The sequence below is a fragment of the Homo sapiens genome, chromosome 10, assembly GCF_000001405.40.
Source record: "Homo sapiens chromosome 10, GRCh38.p14 Primary Assembly".
Classification (NCBI taxonomy): domain Eukaryota; kingdom Metazoa; phylum Chordata; class Mammalia; order Primates; family Hominidae; genus Homo; species Homo sapiens.
This window is the reverse complement of record NC_000010.11, coordinates 102,677,094-102,705,029: the sequence shown is the minus strand read 5'-3', so window position 1 is coordinate 102,705,029 and position 27,936 is coordinate 102,677,094. Positions and strand designations below refer to the sequence as shown.

The 27,936-nt window shown below is 44.9% G+C and overlaps 1 protein-coding gene across 2 annotated transcripts in view; it reads left to right on the top strand.

Annotated features, from left to right (window-relative positions):
• The window catches only part of ARL3 (ARF like GTPase 3), a 40,667-nt gene that overhangs the window by 9,368 nt on the left and 3,363 nt on the right, over nucleotides 1-27,936 (top strand). For both annotated transcript variants that reach the window (NM_004311.4, XM_017016260.2), the window contains exons 3-5: nucleotides 5,541-5,657; nucleotides 15,087-15,137; nucleotides 19,029-19,214. In NM_004311.4, the coding sequence (NP_004302.1) occupies nucleotides 5,541-5,657; nucleotides 15,087-15,137; nucleotides 19,029-19,214 (354 nt within the window). The remainder of the gene's footprint in view (nucleotides 1-5,540; nucleotides 5,658-15,086; nucleotides 15,138-19,028; nucleotides 19,215-27,936) is intronic.

Here is a 27,936-nt window from a genome sequence, read left to right as displayed (position 1 = left end):
CACAGTGTGAATGTATTTAATGCCATGGAACTGTACACTTTAAAATGGCTGAAATGGTACGTTTTATGTTATAACGTTAAAATGTGTACGCAGACACACTTCACAGTACCCACTTCATCAGGCCACCCCACTGCAGCATCTGCATCCCACTGGGCTTCAGCCTCCACACAGCACCTTTCAGCACATGCACCCCTCTTCCGTCTCTGCCCCACCTTCCCCACCCGCACATGTCCTCAGCAGCTGCATATTGTACGTGTTATGTTACAATTTAAAATATATGTATACATATATACACATGTGTGTGTTTGTGTGTATATAGACAAATCCAGCAGATCTGAGTACCTATATTCTTTTTATTTTTATTTTATTTCTTTAAATTATTTATTTTTTGAGACACAGTCTTGCTTTGTCACACAGGCTGAAGTGTGGTAGTGCAATCTTGGCTCACTGCAACCTCCGCCTCCCAGGTTCAAGCGATTCTTGGACCTCAGCCTCCCTAGTAGCTGGGATTACAGGCGCACACCGCCATGGCCCGCTAATTTTTGTATTTTTTTGTAGAGCCAGGGTTTTGCCATGTTGGCCAGGCTGGTCTCAAACTCCAGACCTCAATGATCCACCCACCCCAGCCTCCCAAAGTGCTGGGATTACAGGTGTGAGCCACCACACCCAGCCTATTCTTTTTTAAAAAATAGCTTTATCTTCTCTGATTATGAAAGTAGTGCATGTAGAAAACACAGAGAAAGTATAAAGGAGAAAACTCTGAGAAAAACCATGGTTAATATTTTACCGTGTACTTTTCAGACTTAATAAATACAAATATGTATCAATTTTTAAAAGAAAAAAAAATTACCTGCCTTTTTTTTTTTTTTTTTTTTTTTGGAGACAGAGTCTCGTTCTGTTTCCCAGGCTGGAATGCAGCAGTGCAATCTCAGCTCACTGCAACCTGCGCCTCCTGGGTTCAAGTGATTCTCCTGCCTCAGCCTCCCAAGTAGCTGGGACTACAGGTGCACGCCACCACGCCTGGCTAATTTGTTGTATTTTAGTAGAGACAGGGTTTCACCGTTGTTGCCCAGGCTGGTCTCGAACTCCTGAGCTCAGGCAGTCCACCTGCCTCGGCCTCCCAAAGTGCTAGGATTACAGGCGTGAACCACCTTGCCCGGCCAATTACCTGCCTTTTTAAATCCAGTCTCATCAACCTTCCTCTTTCCTGAAAAGGGCAAGCAAGCAAAGCATAAAGGATAAGGGAATGATAGTGCTCACAGCGTGGAGGTTTAAAGATGAGTCCTGGGCCGGGCGTGGTGGCTCATGCCCATAATCCCAGCACTTTGGGAGGCCGAGGTGGGCGGATCACAAGGTCAGGAGATCGAGACCATCCTGGCTAACATGGTGAAACCCCGTCTCTACTAAAAATACAAAAAATTGGCTGGGCGTGGCAGTGGGCACCTGTAGTCCCAGCTACTTGGGAGGCTGAGGCAGGAGAATGGCGTGAACCCAGGAGGTGGAGCTTGCAGTGAGCCGAGATCATGCCACTGCACTCCAGCCTGGGCGACAGAGCGAGACTCCATCACAAAAAAAAAAAAAAAAAAAAAAAAAAAAAAAAAAAAGACAAGTCCTGGGCACCATGGCTCATGCCTGTAATCCCAGCACTTTGGGAGGCCGAGGTGGGTGGATCATGAGGTCAGGACATGGAGACCATCCTGGACAACATGGTGAAATCCTGTCTCTACTAAAAATACAAAAATTAGCTGGATGTGGTGGTGTGCACCTGTTATCCCAGCTACTCAGGAGACTGAGGCAGGAGAATGGCTTGAACTTGGGAGGCGGAGATTACAGTGAGCTGAGATTGTGCCATTGCACTCCAGCCTGGCGACAGAGTGAGACTCCGTCTCAAAAAAAAAAAAAAAAAAAAAAGACAAGACCTGATTGGAAAAACTGTAGTGGGTTTCTTAGAACTCATTCCCTGTAGGAAATCCTAAGAATGCCTGACCTTTGGCTAAGCCAACAGGGAGAGCTTGTTGGTCTTAGTCACTTTAAAGTGTTTGAGCATTAAAGGTTAGAGGTTTTAGCAAAACCAGAGTTATTTTCCATCACTGTACCGTGATAAGACCCTGGTGTCAGGTTTGAATGGCTGTGCTGGTGTGCATGCATACTTCACGGCCCATGAGTCTTACTGATTCACAACTCTTTATGGAAAAGTCATTTCAACTGCTACCAAATGAACAATTTTTACAGCTTCTGAACAAATTTAATGTATAGCCCAAGCAAATTACAGTAATCTAGCCTAGAAGGGCTGAAAACACATATTAGTGTGTCAAGATTTCTGCCAGAAAAAGAAGCACTAGTTTTTGTGTGCATGCGCTTGTGGGGTTTTTTTGTTTTTGTTTTTGTTTTTTTAGTATTAGCAATAAACTGTGTCTCTCAAGAACACTAACGTGAAGACTTCCACACTGCAAACACAGAAATAAACTCAAAGTTAGGAACCCAAAGTTCTCATTCTAACCTTCAGGCTTTGTTTGATGTGTTATAGGTAACTCTGATATTATATTGTGTCAAGGTTTCATATTCTTTAAAAACAAACTTTTATTATGTTTTTTGTTTTATATTAGAAAAAGTAATAAATGCTCATTGTAGTAAATTTAGGAAGTATAAATAAATACAATTGAGAAACTAAAAGTCACCTATAATGCCCAGTCAGACATACCACTGTTCACATTTAGGAATGTATCAAGTTTTTTTCTATGCATATATATGATGGGTATATTTAAAATAAAAAATAAAAATGGCTCATAGAGGATATACTAGCTTGTATCATCTATATCTAGATATAGATTTTTTTTAGAGACGGGGTTTCACTCTGTCGGCCAGGCTGGAGTACAGTGGCACCATCCATAGCTCACTGCAGCCTCAAATTCCTGGGTTCAAGCAATCTTCCCACCTCAGGCTCCTGAGTAGTTAGGACTGCAGGCATGTGCCACCACACCCAGCTAATTTTTTTTTTTTTTTTTTTTTGGTAGAGATGGGGTCTCACTACATTGCCCAGGCTGGCCTTGAACTCCTGGGCTCAAGCAGTCCTCCCGCCTCAGTCTCCCAAAATTGGGATTATGGGTGTGAGCCACTGAACCTGTCTCCTCTTGTTCACTTAATAATAGATCATGAACATCTTTCTATGTTATTATATATGTAAATACTTATGTAATATACATCTCTAAATGTTTTTGCCCATTCATCATTATTATTTCCTCAGAATAAATTCCTAGATTTGTTGGGTCTCATGACTTATAGCTGTTTAAGCCCATTGATACATATGGTCAAATTCCAAGATTCACTGTTACTTGTATTCCAAGATTTACTGTTATTTATTTTCTGCTTTATTCCAGAAAGGATTCAGTATTACTGAGTTTGACATTTAATATCATTGTTGAGTGTGGAATTTTTAAATACACTAAAGTAGTTTTGCCAGTGAGTCACAATGAAACTTTTTTCAATAAGCTTAAGCCATTTCCCTTTAGAATTCTCGAACTTCTAATGTATTCAGTCATTGGCGTGTTAGAGAAGTGAGAGTCAGCAGGATCCCCAGTTATCCTCCAGAGACTGTGTATCCGCAGTGGAAATTGGGTGGCAATATTCCTGTCCTATTGCACTGTGCCTTCTCCTTCTGTGCCAGGCAGCAGTGTTGACAGGCTACCACATGAAACAAATGTTTGTGGAGGCATCCCCAAAGCTATCTAACTCCAGTTATTCTGGATGAAATGTCTCTTCTGTGGTAGCAAGCTGTTGACTGGGTTTTTCAAATCCTGGTTTCCCTATGTAATTTTTGCAAGAAGACTTTAAAAAAAATTCTTGTTCATGCAATACATTCTCTGGGAACCCCAAAGGGCTTGTTAATTTGTTTCTTTCCACACTGACCCCCACCTGGCAATTCTGCCTGTCCCTGATTTGCTCACCTTCCTCAAAGTTTCACCTCAAGTAACTGTCTTAAAAATGAAGACTTCCAGCCCGGTGCAGTGGCTCACACCTGTAATCCCAGCACTTTGGGAGGCTGAGGCGGGCGGATCACCTGAGGTCGGGAGTTCAAGACCAGCCTGACCAACATGGAGAAACCCCATCTCTACTAAAAATACAAAATTAGCCAGGCATGGTGGCGCATGCCTGTAATCCCAGCTACTCGGGAGGCTGAGGCAGGATAATCGCTTGAATCCGGGAGGTGGAGGTTGCGGTGAGCCGAGAGCACAACTCTGCAAAAAAAAAAAAAAAAAAAAGACTTCCGGCTGGGCACAGTGGCGCATGCCTGTAATCCCAGTGCTTTGGAAGGCCAAGGTGGGCGGATCATGAGGTCAGGAGTTTGAGACCAGCCTGACCAATATGGTGAAACCCTGTCTCTACTAAAAATACAAAAAATTAGCCGGGTGTGGTGGCAGGCGCCTGTAATTCCAGCTACTCGGGAGGCTGAGGCAGGAGAATCACTCGAACTTGGGAGGCGGAGGTTGCAGTGAGCCAAGACCATGCCACTGCACTCCAGTCTGGGCAACAGAGCGAGACTCTGTCTCAAAAAAAAAATGAAGACTTCCTTTTCAAGTTCAAGTTCATCATAGTTCCCTATGAAAGCACTTTTTTTTTTTTTGAGATGGAATCTCACTCTGTCGCCCAGGCCAGAGTGCAGTGGCATGATCTCAGCTCACTGCAACCTCTGCCTCCAGGGTTCAAGTGATTCTCTTGCCTCGGCATCCTGAGTAGCTGGGACTCCAGGCATGCGCCAACACGCCTGGCTAATTTTTGTATTTTTAGTAGAGACGGTGTTTCACCATATTGACCAGGCTGATCTCGAACTCCTGACCTCCTGATCCATCCGCCTCGGCCTCCCAGAGTGCTGGGATTACAGGCGTGAGCTACGCACCCAGCCTGAAAGCACAATTTTAACTGACCACTTGTTTGTTTCCATCAGTGTCTGCAACTGAGGGCTCCACCTCCCTACTGGGCTGATATATTCGAGTTACAAACCCAGCCTCCCCCATAGCATCCTCAGTTCTGCTCTTTTTCCTGATTAATCCCTGTAGGAAATTTATTTTGAGCTGCTCTTGAAGAATCTAATCCTCTAGATTTGTAGCTTTTGCCTCTTTAAATTTAGCTTGTGTTCTTTCCTGTTGAGTCTTCAGATTCAGCTTTTTTTTTGTTGTTAGTTACATGAAATGTCCTGTTAAATTTTACCATCCTGAAGATTCATGGGCATGTGATGTGTGTTGGTTAATTAGAGCTATTCTCATTTGGAGTTATCCTCAGTAATTATATATGTATATATGTTCATTGTAGAAAAACATTGTGTTAGCCTGACATTATTAACACTGACTCCACAACCTGGATGAAACAAGCATGTATAAATATGTTTCTGTATTCTCTGTCACAACAAATCATTTTCAGCATTACCAGTATCACATATGGCAGAGTACTTTAGAATTAATAAAAAACATAGCTATTAAATGTAACTTTGTCAGAATTATGATCCCAAAGTTTAATAAAACTTGATGTTTTTGTCCCTGTTTCAGGGTTTCAACATCAAAAGTGTACAATCACAAGGTTTTAAACTGAATGTATGGGACATTGGTGGACAGAGGAAAATCAGACCATACTGGAAGAATTATTTTGAAAATACCGATATTCTTGTAAGTACTCCTTCTGACGCACTAATTCATAGTATTTTCTGCCATGTGTTAGAAACATGGACACTGTAACATTCTTTCTTGTCAGTAATTCCACCACCATAACATTAATCACTGTGAATTTAGCAGGGATAGCAGAAGGCTACAGATTATAAAGGAAAAACATCTTTGTATAACTTGTATAAGATGTTTTGCTGTCGCTCAGTAACAATGTTGTACCCACACCCATCTTGGCAAAATAAAGTGTTATTAATTGCCATAGTGATTTGAATAGCAGAAGGGAAGTCAGAAGATCATGCCACTGACTGTCACCCCTAGGAAGACAACGAATCAAGTGTATTGCAAAGAGAGCAAGCAAAATAGTGAAAGTACTGGAAACCATGATGTGTAAGGAGTGGTTGAAAGACCTGAGAATGTTATTCCTGGAAAAGAGAACACTGGGAACTGTCTAGGCTGCTTCAAGAATTATCTTAAGTCAGAGGGATTGAATAGTTCTAGAGGGCTGAGCCAAGAGCAAGATGGGGAATGTTAGGTGGTAGAATGTAATTCAGATTAAGGAAGAAGTTTCCTATAATTACAATCGTCCAGTAGTAGGAGAAGCTGCCTCGTGCATTGGGAATACCCTGACTCAGGGAGCGTTCATTCAAGTGGAGGCCGAGATTTTAGCTCCCAGCTCGCTGTCACTTCCTTTAGGACCATCACAGTTTCAGAATTCTTGGAGATTTCACTGTCCACTTACATGATTTCCACAAAACCTCAGCCTCTCAGTTCCTTCACCAGCCCTCCTTCAATGGTCTTGTCATCTACTCTACCTCAGCCACATACTTGCATAATCATACCCTAAAACTAGGGGGGCTCATGAACTTAGATGGGAGAAAAATTGCATGTCGCTTTTACTAACCTCTAACCAAAAGTTTGCGTTTACATCAATTATGATGAAAGGCAATAAACTGCAATAATAGCAGCCATATCTATGTCTTTATTACGAATAGAAATCATCTAGACCAGGTGTGGTGGCTCATGCCTGTAATCTCAGCAGTTTGGGGTGGCTGAGGTGGGAGGATCGCTTGAGCCCAGGAGGCGGAGGTTGCAGTGAGCCCAGATTGAGATCAGGCCACCACACTCCAGCCTGGAAGACAGAGTGATACTCTGTCTCAAGACAAGAAAAAAAAAAAGAAATCATCTTGCATCTCAAACAGCTTCACCTTCTGCTGTTGTTTCCTAAGTGTCTCTCTCCTCTGGATCATTCCCATCAACATAAACATATCCTGTAGCTTCTCTTGCTTAATGAAGAAAAAATAAGCCCCAGAAAACTCCTCCTGACCATACATCCCCCTCCAATACTGTCCCATTCCTCAGCCTCCCTTTATAGCAAAACTCCTTGAAAGAGTTTGTTATGCTCTCTGTCTTTGCTTTATCTCCTCCTAGTTACTCTTGAGCCTTCTTTTCAGGGTCACTGATAATTCCACATTGCTAAAAGTAGGGTTCAGTTTTCAGTACTCATCTCACTTGACCTATCAGGCCATTTAACATTGGTCATGCTCTCTTTGAAACATTGTCTTTTCTTGGCTTCCAAGACACCATTCTATCTTGGTTTTCCTCCTCACTGGCTACTCCTCCTAAATCTCCATTGCTATTTTTTTTTAATCTCCCAACCTCCAAATGTTAGAGAGCCCCGGAGTCCTTGTGTTTTTCTTCTCTGAGTCACTGCTTAGGTGACCTCGTCTAATTTGAAGGATTTAATGACCACTTAGATGCTTATGAATCTCAAACTATCATCTCTAGCCTGGAATTCTCCCCTGAACTTGAGTTTCATATACAGTCATGTGCCACATAATGACACTTGGGTCAGTGACTGACCTCATAAATGATAGTGGTCCCTTAAGATTATAATAGAGCTGCCGGGCGCAGCGGCTCACGCCTGTAATCCCAGCACTTTGGGAGGCCAAGGCAGGTGGATCACGAGGTCAGGAATTCAAGACTAGCCTGGCCAAGATGGTGAAACTGCATCTCTACTAAAAATATGAAAATTAGCTGGGCATGGTGGTGGATGCCTGTAATCCCAGCTACTCAGGAGGCTGAGGAAGAGAATTGCTTGAACCCAGGAGGTGGAGATTGCGGTGAGCCAAGATTGCGCCACTGCACTCCAGCCTGGGCAACACAGCGAGACTCTCTTTCTCAAAAAAAAAAAAAAATTATAATAAAGCTGAAAAATTTATATTACCTAGTGACATAGCTGTCATAACACATTACCTTTTATATGTTTAGATCCATAAATACTTACCATTGTTTTACAGTTGCCTGCAGTATTCGATACAGTAACTTCGTGTACAGGTTTGTAGCCTGGGGCAATAGGCTATGCCATACAGCCTAGGTGTGCAGTAGACCATCTAGGTGTGTGTAAGTACACTGTATGATGTTGGCACCATGTCAGAATTGCCTAATAATGCATTTCTCAGAACATGCCCCTGTCATTAAGCAACACATGACTATATAAGCCAGCTGCCTATTTGACATCTCCACTTCAGCGGCTGGTAAGTCCCTCAGCCTCAACATGTCTAAAACCAAATTCCTGTTTTCATCCTGTTCTACTCAACCCTACTCTTCCCACAGTCTTCTCAGTAAATGGGAGTCCCATTCCTCCGGAAACAATGCAATCATCCTTGGCTCCCTCTCCTCACTCCCCTCATCTGATCTATCAGCAGATTCTTTGTACCTATTGCCATCAGACGTATTTTTATTTATTAGCTTTCTCTTGCACTGTAAGGTAAGCTCCGTGAGGACAGGAATTTTTGCATTTTAAAAAACTGTTGGCCGGGTGCGGTGGCTCACGCCTGTAATCCCAGCACTTTGGGAGGCTGAGGCGGGTGGATCACAAGGTCAGGAGTTCAAGACCAGCCTGGCCAAGATGGTGAAACCCCATCTCTACTAAAAATACAAAAAATTAGCCAGGCGTGGTGGTGGGCGCCTGTAATCCCAGCTATTTGGGAGGCTGAGGCAGAGAATTGCTTGAATCAGGGAGGTGCAGGTTGCAGTGAGCCAAGATTGCGCCACTGCTCTCCAGCTTTGGCGACAGACCAAGACTCCGTCTCAAAAAAAAAAAAAAAATGTTGGCCAGGCTCTGTGGCTAACGCTTGTAATCCCAGCACTTTGGGAGGCCGAGGTGGGTGGATCACGAGGTCAGGAGATCGAGACCATCCTGGCTAACACGGTGAAACCCCGTCTCTACTAAAAAATACAAAAAAATAGCCGGGCATGGTGGCGGGCGCCTGTAGTCCTAGCTGCTCGGGAGGCTGAGGCAGGAGAATGGCATGAACCTGGGAGGCGGAGCTTGCAGTGAGCCAAGATTGCACCACTGCACTCCAGCCTGGGTGACAGAGTGAGACTCTGTCTGAATAAAAAATAAAATAAGGCCGGGCATGGTGGTCACTCCAGCCTGGGCAACAAGAGTGAGACTCTCTCTAAGATAAGATGAGATAAGATAAGGTGAGGTAAGATAAAATTCTTTTAATTCAGAAAAAAACAAAAAAATAAAAATAATTAAAAATATTTTAAATCAGGCCTGGTGCGATGGCTCATTCCTGTAATCCCAGCACTTTGGGAGGCCGAGGCAAGTGGATCACTTAAGGTCAGGAGTTCGAGACCAGCTTGACCAACATGGAGAAACCCCGTCTCTACTAAAAATACAAAATTAGCTGGGCGTGGCGGCACATGCCCGTAAGCTACTCAGGTGGAAAATCGCTTAAACCCGGAAGGTGGAGGTTGCGGTGAGCCAAGATCATGGCATTGCATTCCAGCCAGGGCAACAAGAGTCTCAAAACAAAAAACAAGTCTCAAAAACAAAAAAAAAATTTTAAATCAACAAGGAAACACTTAGAACTAATAAGTGATCATACCAAGGCTGCAGGATATAAGGTTAATATGTACAAGTCGGTTGCTTTCCTTTATATCAGCAGTGAACAATTGAAATTTGAAATTAATAGCAAAATACCATTTAGCACCCCCAAAATGAAACACTTAGGCATAAATCTAACAAAATACATTCAGGACCTACTTGAAGAAACCTGCAAAACTCATAAAGAAGATCTAGGTAAATAAAGAGACAGTCCGTGCTCATGGATAGGAAAACTCAGTATTATTAAGATGTCAGTTATACCCAACTTGATTTATAGATTTAATAGAATCCCAATCAAAATCACAGCAAGTTACTTTGGGGATATTGACAAACTGATTCTAATGTTTATATGGAAAAGCAAAAGATTTAGATGGCTAACATAGTACTGAAAAGGAACAAGTTAGAGGACTGACACTACCTGACATCAAGATTCTCTGTAAAGCAAGTAAACAAGACAGCATAGGCCGGGCGCAGTGGCTCACGCCCGCACTCCCAACACTTTGGGAGGCTGAGGCAGGCAGATCACCTGAGGTCAGGAGTTCAAGAGCAGCCTGGCCAATGGGGTGAAACCCCATCTGTATTAAAAATACAAAAATTAGCCGGGTGTAGTGGCAGGCACCTGTAATCCCAGCTGCTCGGGAGGCTAAGACAGGAGAATCGCTTGAACCCAGGAGGCAGAGGTTGCAGTGAGCCGAGATTGCACCATTGCACTCCAGCCTGGGCAACAAGTGTGAAACTCCGTCTCAAAAAAAAAAGAAGACAGCATACATTAGAGAAAGAGTAGACAAATTGATCAACAGAACAGAATAGAGAGCCCCAAAATAGGCTTACATGAATATGGCCCACTCTCTCTGACAAAAGAACATGACAGTTCAAGGGAGGAAGGATAATCTTTTCAGCAAGTGGCGCTGGAATAATGGGACATCGACATGCAAAAAAAAAAGAATCTAGACCCATCCTTACCCCTTAACTTAAAATGTTAAAATAGATTCTTTTTTCCTTCGACCTAGAGCCCTTGACAAAATGGATCTTAAACCTAAATGTAAAACCCAAACACTATAAAACTCCTAGAAGACAACATAGGAGAACATCTAGGTGACCTTGAGTTTGGTGATGAGGTTTTAGATACACAAAAAGCATAATCCATGAAAGAAATAAATTGGACTTAAATGAATTTAAAACTTCTGGAAGCAGCCGGGCGCGGTGGCTCATGCCTGTAATCCCAGCACTTTGGGAGGCCAAGGCGGGAGGATCACGAGGTCAGGAGATCGAGACCATCCTGGCTAACACGGTGAAACCCCATCTCTACAAAAAATACAAAAAAAATTAGCCGGGCGCGGTGGCAGGCGCCTGTAGTCCCAGCTACTCAGGAGGCTGAGGCAGGAGAATGGCGTGAACGTGGGAGGCAGAGCTTGCAGTGAGCCGAGATCACACCACTGCACTCCAGCCTGGGCGACAGAGCAAGAATCCATCTCAAAAAAAATAAATAAAAATAAAACTTCTGGAAGCTGGATTTGGTGGCTCATGTCTGTAATCTCAGCCCTTTGGGAGGCCGAGGTGGGAGGATGCTTCGAGTCCAGAAGTTCAAGACCAGCTTGCACAATATACTGTGACCCTGTCTCTACAAAAAATAAAAAAAAATTAGCCAGTCATGGTGATGTGGACCTGTAGTCCCAGCTACTCGGGAGACTGAGGTGGAAGGATCACTTGAGCCCAGGAGGTTGAGTCTGCAGTGAGCTGTGATCACTACTGCACTCCAGTCTGGGTGACAGAGTGAGACTCTATCTCAAAAAAATAAATAAAATAAAACTTCTGCTCTGCAAAAGAGACTGCTAAGAGAATAAAAATACAAACCACAGACTGGGAGAAAATATTTGCAAAACACATATATGTTAAAGTAGTTATATCTAAAATATACAAATAACTCAAAACTCAAGAATAAGCAAACAACTTGGTTTTACAAATGGGCAAAAGATCTGAACAGACACCTCATCAAAGAAACAGATAAGCATATAAAAAATGTTCAGTATTATATGTCATTATGGATTTACAAATTAAAACAGCAATAATATGGTACTACATATTAATACCTACTAGACTGGCTAAAATAAAAAAAAAACTGACAATACCAAATGCTGATACGGATGTAGAGCAATGGGACTCCTCTTCATTGCTGGTGGAAATACAAAATAGTACACCCACTTTGGAAGACAGTTGGTAGTTTCTTACAAAGCTAAACATAGTCTTAGCATACAGTCCAGCAGTACTCCAAGATATATACCCAGTTAGTTGGAAATTGATATTCCACACAAAATTCTGCATAGGAATGTTTATGGCATCTTTATTCCTAATTGCCAAAACCTGGAAGCATCCAAGATGTCCTTCAATAGGTTAATAGATAAACAAACTGTGGTACACCCGTATAGTAGAATATTGTTCAATGATAAAAATACATGAGCTATCAAGTCATGAAAAGACACAGAGGGGCCGGGTGCGGTGGCTCATGCCTGTAATCCCAGCAGTTTGGGAGGCCAAGGCGGGCAGATCACGAGGTCAGGAGATCGAGACCATCCTGGCTAACACGGTGAAACCCTGTCTCTACTAAAAGCTGGGCGTGCCGGCGGGCGCCTGTAGTCCCAGCCTACTAGGGAGGCTGAGGCAGGAGAATGGCATGAACCCAGAAGATGGAGCTTGCAGTGAGCCAAGATCGCGCCACTGCACTCCAGCCTGGGTGACAGAGCGAGACTCTGTCTCAAAAAAAAGAAAAAAGACACGGAGGGCTCACACCTGTAATCCCAGCACTTTGGGAGGCTGAGGTGGGTGGATCACCTGAGGTCAGGAGTTCGAGGCCAGCCTGGCCAGCATGGCGAAACCCCATCTCTGCTAAAAATATAAAAATTAGCCAGGTGTGGTGGCACATGCCTGTAATCCCAGCTCCTCGAGAAGCTGAGGCAGGAGTATCGCTTGAACCCAGGAGGCAGAGGTTGCAGTGAGCCGAGATCACACTACTGCACTCCAGCCTGGGTGACAGAGCGAGACTCCGTCTCAACAAAAAAACAAAAGTGTATACATGTTTCAAAAGCTATAGACTCCTTTTTCCTCTTTCAATCATGAGTTAGGAAAAAGCAGGTGGCTGAGAGAAATTACATTCCTATCTGTTCATCTGCTGGATTAAGGTATCTTGAAAGAAATACCCAAGGAAGAGAAGTATATAAAGACATTAATGATTGTAAGTCTCCATAAGGAGGTCTCAGAAACTTTCTGGTCTCCAGGTAAGGGTAATTTTAAATCATAAGCTCTAACAGCTTGAGGGCAGACTGCAAGTTGGTTGTAATATAATGTAACCCTGGATTCCACATTCACATGATCTGAGAGTACCTGGGAATTAACGTACAATCCAGCAAAAATCGGTTCACAGCAACACTAGAGAAGCTTCCTCCAGCTGCATCCTTGTACTCGACACTAGTACAAGATAATAGTTTGGATTGAGAGTCAACCTTTCATTATTTTCCAGTGCTGTTTGAGATTAAACAAGTATGAGGGAGGAACTGAGTCCCTGGGATTAGATTCTAAGGCCTTGTGACTCACAGCCCTGTCTGCCAGTTTTGTAGCAGCTTAGAGTGAAGGTGGTGGATGGGTTATATTTGTCTATGTTTAATAGTCTTCCATTGTTGGTTGAAAAAGACTTATTACGCTAGACTCCACACTGCCTAGAAGAGCAGGCTTGAGGCTTGACACAAGAGTTGCCTGGTTCATTCTTTCCCATTATCTCTAGAGTACCGTAATCAAATCTTGCTTTATAGAGCAGGTCGACAAATTGATCCAGGCTGCCTCCAGTTTTTGTACAGCCTTCAAGCTAGGAGTGGTTTTTACATTTCTAAGTGGTTGGGGAGAAAAACGCCAAAAGAATAATGTTTCACAACATGTGAAAATTATATGAAATTCACATTTCAGTGTCCATGAAGTTACTTGGAACATAGCCACATACATTTGTTTACAGATTTTCTGTGGTTGCCTTCTAACAATAACAGGAGCGTTCAAGAGTTGTGAAAGAGATTGTATGGAAATCATCATTCTCAGTAAACTGTCGCAAGAACAAAAAACCAAACACCGCATATTCTCACTCATAGGTGGGAATTGAACAATGAGATCACATGGACACAGGAAGGGGAATATCACACTCTGGGGACTGTGGTGGGGTGGGGGGAGGGGGGAGGGATAGCATTGGGAGATATACCTAATGCTAGATGACGAGTTAGTGGGTGCAGCGCACCAGCATGGCACATGTATACACATGTAACTAACCTGCACAGTGTGCACATGTACCCTAAAACTTAAAGTATAATAAAAAGAAAAAGAGAGATTGTATGGGCCACAGAGGCTAAAATATTGACTGCTGACCTCTTACAGAAAAAGTTTGCCTACCCTTGCTTTGGAGTATTAAATTAAATGGTTCTCTAAACTGTGTCTGGTGGTGCATGCCTGTAATCTCAACTACTCAGGAGGCTGAGGTGGGAGGATCCCTTGAGCCCAGGAGTCTGAGACCAGCCTGGGTAACATAGCAAGACCCCATCTCAAAAAAAAAAAAAAAAAAGAGGTTTGAAAGACTAAGAGTAACTCCTAGAAGTACCAGAGTTATTCTTAGGGAAGACGACATTGAGAACATCTGACATGAGCTTTATTAATTTGAGGGTTTGTCTAAGAAATAAAACTTGAAGTGTGATGGAAGGGAGGGGATAGGGTATCTTCCATTTCTCTTTAGGCCGAGAAATAATAACAGCCTTTTGACAGATATAAATGTCTTTTCAAGATATATTCATGTTACTACTAATCATTTACTGTATTATTATTAATATCAGCTTTGTGTTTAAACTTAACATAATTTAAACAAAGTAGGCCAGCCACAGTAGCTCATGCTTGTAATCCCAGCACTTTAGGAGGCTGAGGCAGGTGGATCACTTGAGGTCAGGAGTTCGAGACCAGCCTGGCCGACATGGTGAAACGCCGTCTCTACTAAAACTACAAAAAAATTAGCTGGGCATGGTGGCGTGTGCCTGTAGTCCCAGCTGCTGGGGAGGCTGAGGCAGGAGAATGGGGTGAACCCAGAGCCGAAATCATGCCACTGCACTCCAGCCTGGGTGACAGAGCAGAGCAAGACTCTGTCTCAAAAAAAAAAAAAAAAAAAGGAAAATAGTGAAATCTATATTGTAGAGTTGTAATGAGGGTTAATAGAGTAGACCTAGTAATGTTTAGTGACAACATCAAGTGCCCATTAAATGTAGCTATTTTATCCCACTTGGTTTTCCTAAATCCTAGACTTTGGAGCATTGCTGAAGGTATTTTCTGGGCATCCCTATTTAATTAATTTGTGTATTTGTTTGTTTGGCCTTCATAAATGAGATGAGACTCACCAGTCAATTTCTGTATGTTGTGCTAATTGGAATATGCTGATTGGGGATCACCTGCTCCTTTTGCAGAAATTGCCCTGTCTTTTCCATCTCTGCTCACTGAAATAACCTTCTTCTTTTCCTTTATAGATATATGTAATCGACAGTGCAGACAGAAAAAGATTTGAAGAGACGGGTCAGGTAAATAATTCTTTTTTATATCAAAGTTCTTATATATATATATGTATGTACTTTTTTTTTTTTGAGACGGAGTTTTTGCTCTTGTTGCCCAGGCTAGAGTGCAATGGCATGATCTCGGCTCACCCCAACCTCCGCCTCCCAGGTTCAAGCAATTCTCCTGCCTCAGCCTCCCGAGTAGCTGGAATTAGCATGCACCACCACGCCTGGCTAATTTTGTATTTTTAGTAGAGAGAGGGTTTCACCACATTGGTCAGGCTGGTCTTGAACTCCCGACCTCAGGTGATCTTCCCGCCTCAGCCTCACAAGGTGCTGGGATTACAGGCGTGAGCCACCACGCCCAGCCTAGTATATTTTTTAAATACTAATTCTTCTGTTGAGATAGTTCCCAAATAACTGGGTATTCATTAATCAACCTTGTAAATGTGTGAGAGTGAGGGAGGTTTTTGTTTTGTTTTGTTTGTTAACCTTTACAGTTCAAACAAGACAGTTATTCTAGCAAGCAGGCAAAAATACCAGTTGTCTGAAATTAGTTGAGAGTTCTTTAAACAGTTTTTTTTTCCCCCCTCCAAAACGGAGTTTCACTCTTGTCACCCAGGCTGGAGTGCAATGGCACAATTTCAGCTCACTGCAACTTCAACCTCCCAGGTTCAAGTGATTCTCCTGCCTCAGCCTCCCAAGTAGCTGGGATTACAGGCGTGCGCCACCACGCCCGGCTAATTTTTTTGTATTTTTAGTAGAGACAGGGTTTCACCATGTTGACCAGGCTGGTCTTGAACTCTTGACCTCAGATGATCCACCCACCTCAGCCTCCCAAAGTGCTGGGATTACAGGCGTGAGCCTCCATGCCCAGCCTAAACAGTTTTCTAATTAAAGCTTTTTAGCTTTAATCAAATTGAATATATGAGATACAGACAAGTGGAACTTAGCACCATGCCCAAAGGCTCTTCAGGTTTTTTCCCAGGCCATGTGAAAACGAACCCAGAGGAACAAGTCACTTCTCATTTTTATTTACATTTTTCAATACCTACTTAATTGATTCAGGGGTAACTTTGACAAATCTGAAAGGACAGGAAAAAATGCACATGCCAAGGGCTGGGTGCGGTGGCTCGCGCCTGTAATCCCAGCCCTTTGGGAGGCTGAGGTGGGCAGATCACTTGCAGTCAGGAGATCAAGACCATCCTGGCTAACACAGTGAAACCCTGTCTCTACTAAAAACACAAAAAATTAGCCAGGTGTGGTGGCACGTGCCTGTACAGTCCCAGCTACTCTGGAGGCTGAGGCAGGAGAATCACTTGAACCCACTGCAGAGGTTGCACTGAGCCGAGATTGTGTCACTGCACTCCAGCCTGGGTGACAGAGTGAGACTCCCTCTCAAAAAAAAAAAAAAAAAAAAGTTTTTTAAAAAGTTATCATTGCAGAGTCCTTGGCCTGTGTCCTAAATGACCACAGGTGGCCTTCCAAAGGTAGCAGTTCTCATGTTTATGTCCCTTTTTTTGAAATTGAGTTGAGAACTCTCCAGACTTCTGGAAACAACCCACCACCCTTCCATACCCTGATGATTTCTGGATTATCACTCATGTGAAATGAGCTTGGAGGTGGAGGGGGTCCTATGTAGTCATCTGCCTCTTGATCCATACAGTTCTCTTTGAAAGCCCATGTGTTTTAAGTAGCTAAAATGTGGATTTAATGAGGAAAAGGTGGGGCCTATCATTTAAGTACATATACACCCTTTCCTATAGTTTTTGTAAACAAAATCACATATAGTTTAGACCCCAACCTATAACCTAAATATCAGGGACCTTGCCAGATGGACCAATAAAGTTATTTTAGGATGTAGGTTTGATGAAATGTGAAGCATGTGCATGCATGTTTTAGAGATAGAGATTGATGAAACAGAATTATCTCTAAAGTAATTGTCATTTTCAGTTTAAATTTCATACACACACACACATACACACACACACACGCATTGAAAGTTATTTGCAGGTAATAACCTTGGGTAAGTTTTGAATCTCAAACCACTTCTTGTCTTCTCCCTTGAATGATTTTCTCAAAAGTGTTCTATGGGCCAGGTGTGATGGCTCATCGCTATAATTCTAGCACTTTGTTAGGCTGAGGCAGGAGGATCCCTTGAGCCCAGGAGTTCAAGACCAGCGTGGGCAATATATCAAAACCCTGTCTCTACAAAAAAAAATTTTTTTTTTCCAGGCAGAATCTCACTCTGTCACCCTGGCTGGAGTGCAGTGGCATGATCTTAGCTCACTGCAACCTTTGCCTCCTGGGTTCAAGCAATTCTCCTGTCTCAGCCTCCCAAGTAGTTGGGACTACATGTGCCCACCACCATGCACAGCTAATTTTTGTATTTTTAATAGAGACAGGGTTTCACCATATTGGTCAGACTGGTCTCGAACTCCGCCCACCTCAGCCTCCCAAAATGCTGGGATTACATGGGTGAGCCACCGCGCCTGGCCAAAAAAAATTTTTTTTTAATTAGCTGGGCATGGTGGCAATCACCTGAGGTCCCAGCTAGCTGATCAGGAGGCTAAGTTAAGCATTGCTTGAGCCCAGGAGGTTGAGCCTGCAGTAAGCTGTGATCGCACCACTGCACTCCAGCCTGGATGACAGAGTGAGATATTGTCTCAAAAAAAAAAAGTGATCTGTGAATCATCTGTAGCGGAATCACTTCAGGAGTTTGCTAAAAATGTGGATTCCTATGCCGGGCGCGGTGGCTCACGCCTGTAATCCCAGCACTTTGGGAGGCCAAGGTGGGGGGTGGATCACAAGGTCAGGAGTTCAAGACTAGCCTGGCCAAGATGGTGAAACCCCGTCTCTACTAAAAATACAAAAAAAATTAGCGAGGCATGGTGGTGGGCGCCTGTAATCCCAGCCACTTGGGAGGCTGAGGCAGAGAATTGCTTGAACCCGGGAGGCGGAGGTTGCAGTGAGCCGAGATCGCGCCACTGCACTCCAGCCTGGGCAACAGAGCAAGACTCGTCTCAAAAAAAAAAAAAAAAAAAAAAAAAAAAGTAAATTCCTGAGCCCTAGCTCAGACTTTCCAAAGTCAGCATCTCTGGGTTGGGCCCAGGAATCTGCCAGGGGAATCTTATACAGGTTCAAGTTTGATAATCAGACTGAGCACGGCGGCTCACACCGTAATCCCAGCACTTTGGGAGGCCAAGGCGGGCAGATCACTTGAGGCCAGGAGTTCAAGACCAGCCTGACCAACATGGTGAAAACCCATCTCTACTAAAAATACAGAAATTAGCTGGGCATGGTAGTGTGCACCTGCAGTCCCAGCTACTCAGGAGGCTGAGGGGTGAGAATTGCTTGAACCTGGGAGGTGAAAGGTTGCAGTGAGCCGGGATTGCGCCACTGCACTCCAGCCTGGGCGACAGAGCGAGACCCTGTCTCAAAAAAAAAAAAAAAGAAAGAAAAAAAAAAGTTTGAGAATCACTACTCTTGAAAGTTGCTAGTTGATCAGCTTAACTGTTATTTTTTTTTCTGATTAGAACTGCATGGTTGTCCGGGCATGGTAGCTCACGCCTGTAATCCCAGCACTTTGGGAGGCCGAGGTGGGTGGATCACCTGAGGTGTGCAGTTCTAGACCAGCCTGCCCAACGTGGCAAAACCCTGTCTCTACTAAAAATACAAAAATTAGCTGAGTGTGGTGGTGCATGCCTGTAGTCCCAGCTACTCAGGAGGTTGAGGCAGGAGAATCACTTGAACCTGGGAAGCGAAGGTTGCAGTGAGCCGAGATCACGCCATTGCACTCCAGCCTGGGTGACAGAGTGAGACTCTGTCTCAAAAAAAAAAAAAAAAAAGTAGTGTATGGTTAAATATCATAGATGTATAGATTTTAACCTTCCCTCCCTCTCCCTTCTCAAAATCCAGGAACTAGCGGAATTACTGGAGGAAGAAAAACTAAGTTGTGTGCCAGTGCTCATCTTTGCTAATAAGCAGGATTTGCTCACAGCAGCCCCTGCCTCTGAAATTGCAGAAGGACTGAACCTGCATACCATCCGCGACCGAGTCTGGCAGATCCAGTCTTGCTCAGCTCTCACAGGAGAGGGCGTTCAGGTGAGATTACAGGAAGGCTTGGCCACCTGGCAACATGACAGCTAACCGAGGTGGTCTGTCTCATTGGTTGGGCTGATCTTGATGGGCAGATGAGCCATTCCAAGATATGAAGGGCATGGAGGAATTTGGTTCTTTTCTGCTTAGCAACCAATCAGATATCATGAGGTGCCCCAACAGTGCCCCAGGTAAGCCACCCCACATGTGCAGCAAGCTTCCCCTTTGGGAGGGATGTGAGAACAGAAGACTGAGGATTGTCTCTAACTCTAGGATTCTTTGATGATTGATTGGATTGGGGTTTTGTGTTGTGTCTAATATTACGGATGCTAAAATGCCTGTACTTCCAAGGTGATAGCCACCAATAACCATACACGTACTAGTCATCCTAGAAGTGTTTTTGTTTCTTCTGTTGGTTATCTTCCCTACCCCTAGGGTTGGTGTCTGTTTCCTGCTACTTCAGGTTGGTTTCCCACTGGGAGGCTTCTGCTGACAGAAAGCCCCATGCTTTGTACTGAGGAACTGTGTACCGGAAAAGCAGGCTCCCCCTAATTTTTTTTTTTTTTTTTTTTGAGACGGAGTTTCATTCTCATTGCCCAGGCTGGAGTGCAGTGGCACAATCTCGGCTCACTGCAACCTCCGCCTTCCAGGTTCAAGTGATTCTCCTGCCTCAGCCTTGCAAGTAGCTGGGATTACAGGCATTCACCACCACACCCAGCTAATTTTTTGTATTTTTAGTAGAAACGGGATTTCGCCATGTTGACCAGGCTGGTCTTGAACTCCTGACCCCAAGTGATCTGCCTGCGTCAGCCTCCCAAAGTGCTGGGATTACAGGCATGAGCCACCCTGCCCGGCCCTGGCTGCTTTTTAAAACATCAAGGCCAGGTGCAGTGGCTCATGCCTGTAATCCCAGCACTTTGGGAGGCCGAGGCGGGTGGATCACCTGAGGTCAGGGGTTCGAGACCAGCCTGGCCAACATGGTGAAACCCCCGTCTCTACTAAAAATACAAAAAAAATCAGCCGGACATGGTGGTGCACACCTGTAATCCCAGCTACTTGGGAGGCTGAGGCAGCAGAATTGCTTGAAGCTGGGAGGCGAAGGTTCCAGTGAGCCAAGATCGCATCACTGCACTCCAGCCTGGGCGACAGAGCAAGACTCTCTCTCAAAATAAATAAATAAATAAAAATAAACAATCAAAATTTGTCTAACATATTTTACTCCGATTGCACATAGGATGGCAGTCATAAGGCCTAAGGTTATTTTGATGAAGATGAGACCCAAGAAAAGATAGTAATTTTCTTGTGTTTCTGAAAACCACTTCAGCATGAGCCTGTCTAAAAGGTTTAGATGACAAATTTAGAAAGCTGAGAGTAGCCGGCTGTGGTGGCTCACACCTGTAATCCCAGCACTTTGGGAGGCCGAGGCAGGCAGATCACGAGGTCAGGAGATCGAGACCATCCTGGCTAACACAGTGAAGCCCCGTCTCTACTAAAAATACAAAAAAATTAGCCGGGTGTGGTGGCGGGCACCTGTAGTCCCAGCTACACGGGAGGCTGAGGCAGGAGAATGGCCTGAACCCAGGAGGCGGAGCTTGCAATGAGCTGAGATTGCACTACTGCACTCCAGCCTGGGTGAAAGAGTGAGACTCTGTCTCAGAAAAAGAAAAAAAGAGAGAGAAAGCTGAGAGCATCTTGAGGTTGGGGGCTATTATGAAGGTGGGGCTGAAGAAAAGCAATATAGTTTGTGTGCATATTCGTAAGAAAGTGCAAGTACAGCTCTGGAATCTTTCTTTTGCTTGACCAGAGTGTTGAAGAAAAAGCAAAGCGAGAATTAACAGTAAGCCTCTTGTATCTTCCACCAGCCTTAGCGATGTGAAAAAGGAGAACTAGAGTAATCTAGAATCAGTATTTAGAGCCGTGGCATTTAAAGTCAAGGACACTGCTTCAGAGAAGCCTGGAGGTAGAGAGGGATCTCCTGTCATTTTCTTCCCAACCCCCAGCCCTCCCCCAACTCCCATCAGGTGGAGATTAAAGGATAGAACTCCATGCTCCTGGCTGTGTAACCACCGTAGACAGTGCCCTTCACGGGATCTTTAGGCCACAAAAGAGGCAGCAAGCTACTAGGCAGCTAGAGGGTGGGGTTGGGGACAGGCAGGGGAGCACTGCAAAATAAACCAGTTTGAGTGAGTAAAGTGAGATTATTATATATGATTTGATTTTGATAAGAAAGTTCTTCCCAGATTGGGGCCTTCAGCAACCAAGTTCACAGGAAATGATATCAAGAGAGATCCAACAAAAAACTATGAGCAAAAAATAAAAAATGATTTTTGTATGGAGGAGAAATAGTTTGAAGGTCACTTAATTAGTTTAGTAGATAGTACCATGGTGTATAGAATTGGGTAGTTAAGACTGGGATTTCAAGGTTAATGAGATTAGATTATGGTTAATAGAATGATATAAATTTAGAGAATTTAACCATTATTTGAAATGGGTTATTTAATAAAAATGTTAATTAAGAAGGGAATCTGCTGTCTATTGTCCTTTCGTGGTAACCTTTGGGGACTAGAGAAAGGTCATGGAGTTTTGCTGTGGAAGCGCTTTTCACTGTGAGCCACTGGTTGACCGTGTACCTCCCTAAGGTGGTGCCTCTGACCCAAGCTCTTGTCCACACACCAGCTTCCTGGTTTTTGCCTTAAAAAGAGTCACTTAAGTGGAATTCCTTTCCAGCATTGCTTAGTTGAAGTACAGGCCTTTAGTAATTTTTATTTATTAGGGCTAAAAATATTCTAAAACTGAAAGACTTTACTAGAAAAATATCAATAAAGATCGAATGGTTTGAGGTTCACTTTCAAACGTGAAAACTGTGCAATAATTACTGAAATGCCCTAAATTCCTGTTTTTTTCCTCCCTACCCCACCCCACCTCCCCAAAAGCTGGCCCAAATGATTAGGCACTGAATAGGCAAGTCAGGTGACATCTGATTCTAACAACTCTGAAAGAAAATGTACAAAGGTTTAAAAATAAAAAAAGGACCTGGAATTTCTGTTGCAGTTTCAAGTGTTTAAAGACAGACACATACATCGTACATGTTTAATCAAAACATATTTAAGAGACCTGTCTTGTACTGCTTAACAATAGGTAGCCTCACGGGGGCGAGTTAAGGAAACAGCCATGGAGCTGCTAGATGGCAAGCCACGCCCCTCTGTGGATGAAGTAGGGCAGGTACATCACTTCTCATTAGTGGAGTAGCTTAAACACATGATTTGAGACTATGGAAGTTAGTGATTCCTGGGATGGATTTCAGGGTCCCGTTCCACCTGGTGTCCTGAAGGCAGCACATACGAAGCCATTACAGGGGTGGGAAGTACCACGTGTTGTTCACCAGCCTCTGCTTCAGGTGTGGAAACTGACTTTTGAGAGAGGATGGAACCGGGGTTTCTTTTCCTCATTGGTGCTGACTGGGAAGCCAGCCCATTGTATGATTAAAGCAGGTTTTCACGGGAGACCATCAGGAGCAGAGAGTAGGTAAAGGGCACGAGAAGCAGAAGGAGATCATCAATCTCAGAAACTCTGTTGTGCCAAGAGGCCCACTGTCCAGGGGAGTGATGAGGAGAGACCCAGTTATGTCAAGTGGATGAAAGCGGAAAGAGGAGAAACTGAAAAATGTCTGGGAGGGAGAACCGAAGCCAGACTCCATTATCAACATGGAGGAAGTGTCACTCTGCGCCCTCGAGGTCAGGCCCAGGTTGCCAGGGCCCCTCCTAGGATGAAACATTCTGCACTGGGACTCTCAGTCTTTTTTTTCCCTCCTTGGGTGTCTAGAAAATAGTGAACAAAGGATCTGGCTTAGAGCCAGAGAAAGGTATCGAGAAATCCATCCCTCCTCCACCCACAGACCTGAACTTGAACCCCAAACCACAGCTCTTTCTGCTGTTACAGTTCCAGGCATTTGAAGACATTTTCTCTCTAAAATACTCTGAGTGTGCATGTGTGTGTGGTATGTGTAATTAAAATGATACTGGCTTTGAATTTCCTCTCAAAGCAGAGATCCGAAGTTTTAACCTGACCTCTAGCCATGGTCACCACGGAGACTTGCCTCCTCCCATAACCTTAAGCCAGCAGATCGTGCCCTGGGTGCTGCTCTCCAGGCCACCCCCTCATGCTCACCTTTTCTTGTGATGTCTGCCCCACGTTCCTCTCCTCCTCCTGGAGACAGGAGCCATGAGCAGGTCACATAGGCTTTCAGTTGCCTTGTGTCCACAAAAGGGGCCATGAGCAGTCCGAGCGCCGAGCTGTGATCCGTGCCTGAGTCAGCCTCCAGAGGAACACTAAATGCTCACTCGCCCATTTCTTGGTTTTGCTTCTTTTTCCTTGATTTGGGGGACTTGTCCCTAATATGCCACAGAATTTTAATTTTTTTTTTTTTTTTGAGATGGAGTTTCGCTCTTCTTGCCCAGGCTGGAATGCGATGGCACAACCTTGGCTCACTGCAACCTCCACCTCCTGGGTTCAAGCGATTCTCCTGCCTCAGCCTCCCGAGTAGCTGGGATTACAGATGCCCACCACCACGCCTGGCTAATTTTTTGTATTTTTTTTAGTAGCAACGAGGTTTCACCATGTTGGCCAGGCTGGTCTCGAACTCCTGACCTCAGGTGATCCGCCTGCCTCAGCCTCCCAAAGTGCTGGGATTACAGGCGTGAGCCACCACGCCTGGCCTGATATTTTGAAAAACAAAATTTACCACTTCTTTCTAGGCCTGGCATCAGTTATTGTTGACTCCAGGTGTATATGGAACTGCTTATCTGTGAGTCAGACCTCAGGTTTATTTTTAAATTTTCAAACTTTTCTGGAGACTAAGAAAGCAGTCTCAGGACATGCGATTTCACTACCTTTCTGGTGCAATGCCCTTTGTCACCAGAAAAAAAAACTACTAATAGCGAGCCATATTTGATGGAAGCAGCATCCAGCTGCTTCTTGACCCTGGGGGCCTGATGGCACAATGAGGTAGGCTGCATTGCTCAGCAAGGGTCCGAGCACCTCATCATCTTAAAGCAATTACTGCTGTGACCACGTAACCAGCATGGCTCTAAAAACCAGGCCCACACAGCCATGGCTGCCACCGCTTCCTTCCAGCTACCGAGCAGTGATGGATGCAATGTACAGAGATCAAATTTAAGAGAGCAGCATAGTCAGAGACCACTCTTCCCTTGGAAAGAAGCAGTGCACCTTAACTTCTGGGATGCAGAGATTTGGGAGGAGTGAGTTTCCCCTGTATGCTTAGGGGTGGCCTGCTGTTTCTCCCAGTGGTTATAGGGGAGAATAATATTGTGACATAGGAAACTTTATTTCCTCTCTAGGAGGCCAAACAAAGCTCAGTATTTGAAATTCCATGTCTCTCTTTAGTCTCTGTTATTGAATTGAAGCTAATCAATTCAAATTCAGTTTCAGCAAGATTGGTCAGGGGAGGGTCCAGGGAAGGAAGGAAGGGAGGACTATTCATACCGTAAGATCGTCATCCCCATAATGAAGATCAAATGTACAGAAAATTGGTCAAACCAGTTTTTAACAATAAAGATTCGGCCAGGTGCAGTGGCTCACGCCTGTAATCCCAGCACTTTGGGAGACTGAGGTGGGTGGATCACAAGATCAGGAGATCGAGACCATCCTGGCTAACATGGTGAAACGCTGTCTCTACTAAAAATACAAAAATATTAGTCGGGCATGGTGGCGGGCGCCTGTAGTCCCAGCTACTTGGGAGGCTGAGGCAGGAGAATGGCATGAGGCGGAGCTTGCAGCGAGTCGAGATCATGCCACTGCACTCCAGCCTGGGCGACAGAGCAAGACTCCGTCTCAAAAAAAAAGCCTTCCTTGCCAGGTGAAAGCAAGAGTGGTATGGAACATTTATTTAAACATAAGAAGCAGAAGGTTCCTCCTCTTGCAAGTATGTTTTCTCTAAATGTAGCATTTCCACTGGAGGAGGTGGTCTGGGTGGATGGTTAATATGTGAGGATTGTGCAGCCAGGCAGATAACCAGGCCTCTGCATATACAGATACCCACAGCCCAGGAATCTTGAGAACTGAATGGCCCATAACAACCTCTGGCACTATCGGAGCTGCAGGGAGGCTTGGCTGGGGCTACTCCAGTCTCAGGCCCCTGTTTTTAGCGGAAGTCACAAGGAGGATAAAACCAGAATTCCTCCTTTTCCCATCTTCAGGGTGCTTCCCAGCTCCTCTTTAAGCTTGGGGCAGAACCCTTCACCCGGCAGGTACCCACATCCGTGGAGAACTGGTAAGCAGCTCTGGAGCACCACGCTGGGCACCACAGCTTGCCATTGCCCTGCTCTGTCCTGTGCCTTCATCTCCTCAGCTGTGATAGAGAAATAACACCAGCACCTACTTTGCAGGCTTCTACAAGGATTGACTTAAAAGATGTGAATTAAGTGGGCTGTGGGCTAGACATCATGTTAGGTTCTGGGAATATAATCTCCAGCAAGTCTGATGGGAGCCTCCCCTAGGGGAGCTTGGGCACCACCATTGCCTTTCCTTTCCAGGAGGCAGCTTGACAAAGCTTGCCCTGATGTGATTGACAAAGCTTGCCCCAGCTAGATCCATGGCCACGTGATTGAGGAGGTACCATTGTTGGCCAATGCCTCCCCTTCCCTCCCCTCCCACCTCCAGCCCAGTTCTCTTCTGCCCAGCACAAGAAAGATGCCACTCCCCAAGCACTAGCCGCTTCAGATTAGAGGGGCCTCCCGGGCCCAGGGCAGCCACAGGGCTCGGTCCCCTGTTTACGCTCCCTGTGCTTCCCACACTCAGGGTTGCAGCGGCAGCTGCAGGGGCCCAGGCCGGGGGTCAGCTGGCAGGGACTGGCCTCTGTGCGCCCTCTGTTGGCAGGACAGTGGCTAGAAGGGCTTCACCACTGCTGGCCCTCACAGGCACCTGGAGACACCAGACACTGTCCCTCAGCAGGGCTCTGCCGTTTGAACCCTCCTTTGCCTCCATAACAGAGACCCGGCATAAAACCACCCCACACCCTCCACCTTCTGCTTTGGGCTCCTGCAGCTGAGTAAATATTTTTCCTATCTCTTTGCCTGCATTCATGTTCAGTTATATGCAATAATCTCTCCTTAATCAGCCATAAAGCAAGGAAAAGGCAAAGCGCTATTCACATAGTGTGGGCACACTGTCCTTGATTTCTCTGAGAAGATGGTTTGAGTGCGAGCCTCCGTAGAGGAGAGAGTGTTGAGGTGCCCACCTTTGAGTGTTTGTGTGAGCCCCTGAAGGTGGAAAGTGCTATGTAAGTGCTGAGCTATTCAGCTTCCCAGGCGAGAGAAGATGCTTATCTTATTCATCCCTCTTTTATTTGTAAAATCTTTTTTGTCTCTTGACAGGTGATCTTTTTTTTTTCCTGGAAACCAATTAGCTACTAAAATTAAACATGCTTCTCTTTAAATTAATCCTTTTCATAAAATGGTCTTAAAATTGGCCTTAGCTTCTCAGAGTAAGTAGCTGACCCCATTGTAATTAGAGATGCGTTTGGAGTCCTCATTTCTCCCACCTCGGCATTCCTCTGCCCTTCCCCCTGCTGCTGCCAGGTGCTGTCCACCTTCGGGCTTTCGGCGCCACCGGCCTCATCTTGGCAAAGGTCAGATGTCGGCTCTGGGACAGCCGTCAGATTATCTAGTTCTGCTGCCCAAGTGCACTGACAGCAACTGGCAGAGTTGTAATCACTGTAAATTCAGGTGACGGTCAGATGAGCCAGGAGAGAGGATGCCTGCTGGTTGTTTTTTTGCAGTGATGTATTGTTTATGGGATTAATGTTCCGAATGGCCAAGGGTGTCAGCTGATATTTATTACTGTAAGCTGTCTCAGCTGTTCAGGTTCGGCAGCTAGATCCATGGCCACAGGAAATGTGGGACTCGGTGGCATGTCCAGTATGGCTGATGTGTGCAGATGTAGCTGGGACCTCCGTGAGCCTCTGTTACAGATGCAAGGGGAAGGACTCATGGCAGCAGCTGCCTTGGATTTTGTTCAGGGCTTCTGAGGGAACTCCACACACTCTTGAAGGTTGGGGAGACTCTAGGGAAGGGGAGAGTGTCCAGGTTTGGCTCCAAAGGGGGTTGGGAAGGAGTTCACCTCTGACAGGCCTGGCATCCGTAGGAATTATGCTGCCTGCCAGGTAGCTGTAGGCATTGTGTGATTTTTACCTTGGTCCCTCTTCAGCCTTCTAAGAGAGGGCGCTTTCAAGGTCATTGTGCCTTTAAGGGAACCTTCTCCCCAGTCCCTCTGGATGCTGGTGCTTAAAGCTATAAGAAGCGGGCCAGACCCTTTTAAACCTATCTGGAGTGCTGCAGGAAGAGAAGTAAATGCACATCGCCCTGGTGTGTGCCTCGCAACACTCACTGCAGTAGGTTTGTTTTTCCAAAAAGAAATTTAATTTAACCCAAGTGTACACTGTCACACTGTAAACACATGGGGCACCAAAAGGGTGGCTTATTGAATTTAATGCCCTGGCAAAGGTCACCTTTTAGAAAAAGCCAAAAATGGCTGGAATCTTTCCTGATAGCTCTTCAGTCAGGCTTTGGATGCAGGCAGATGTGTTTATTTTTTCAGAGGGAGTTCCTGAGGACCCATCTCAAGTTCAGGCGCTGGGCATCCCCCTCCCATCGCCCTCTTGTGCTCTCAGAGACCTCCCTCCTCCTCCTCCTGGGAGGTCACTGTCCCTGGT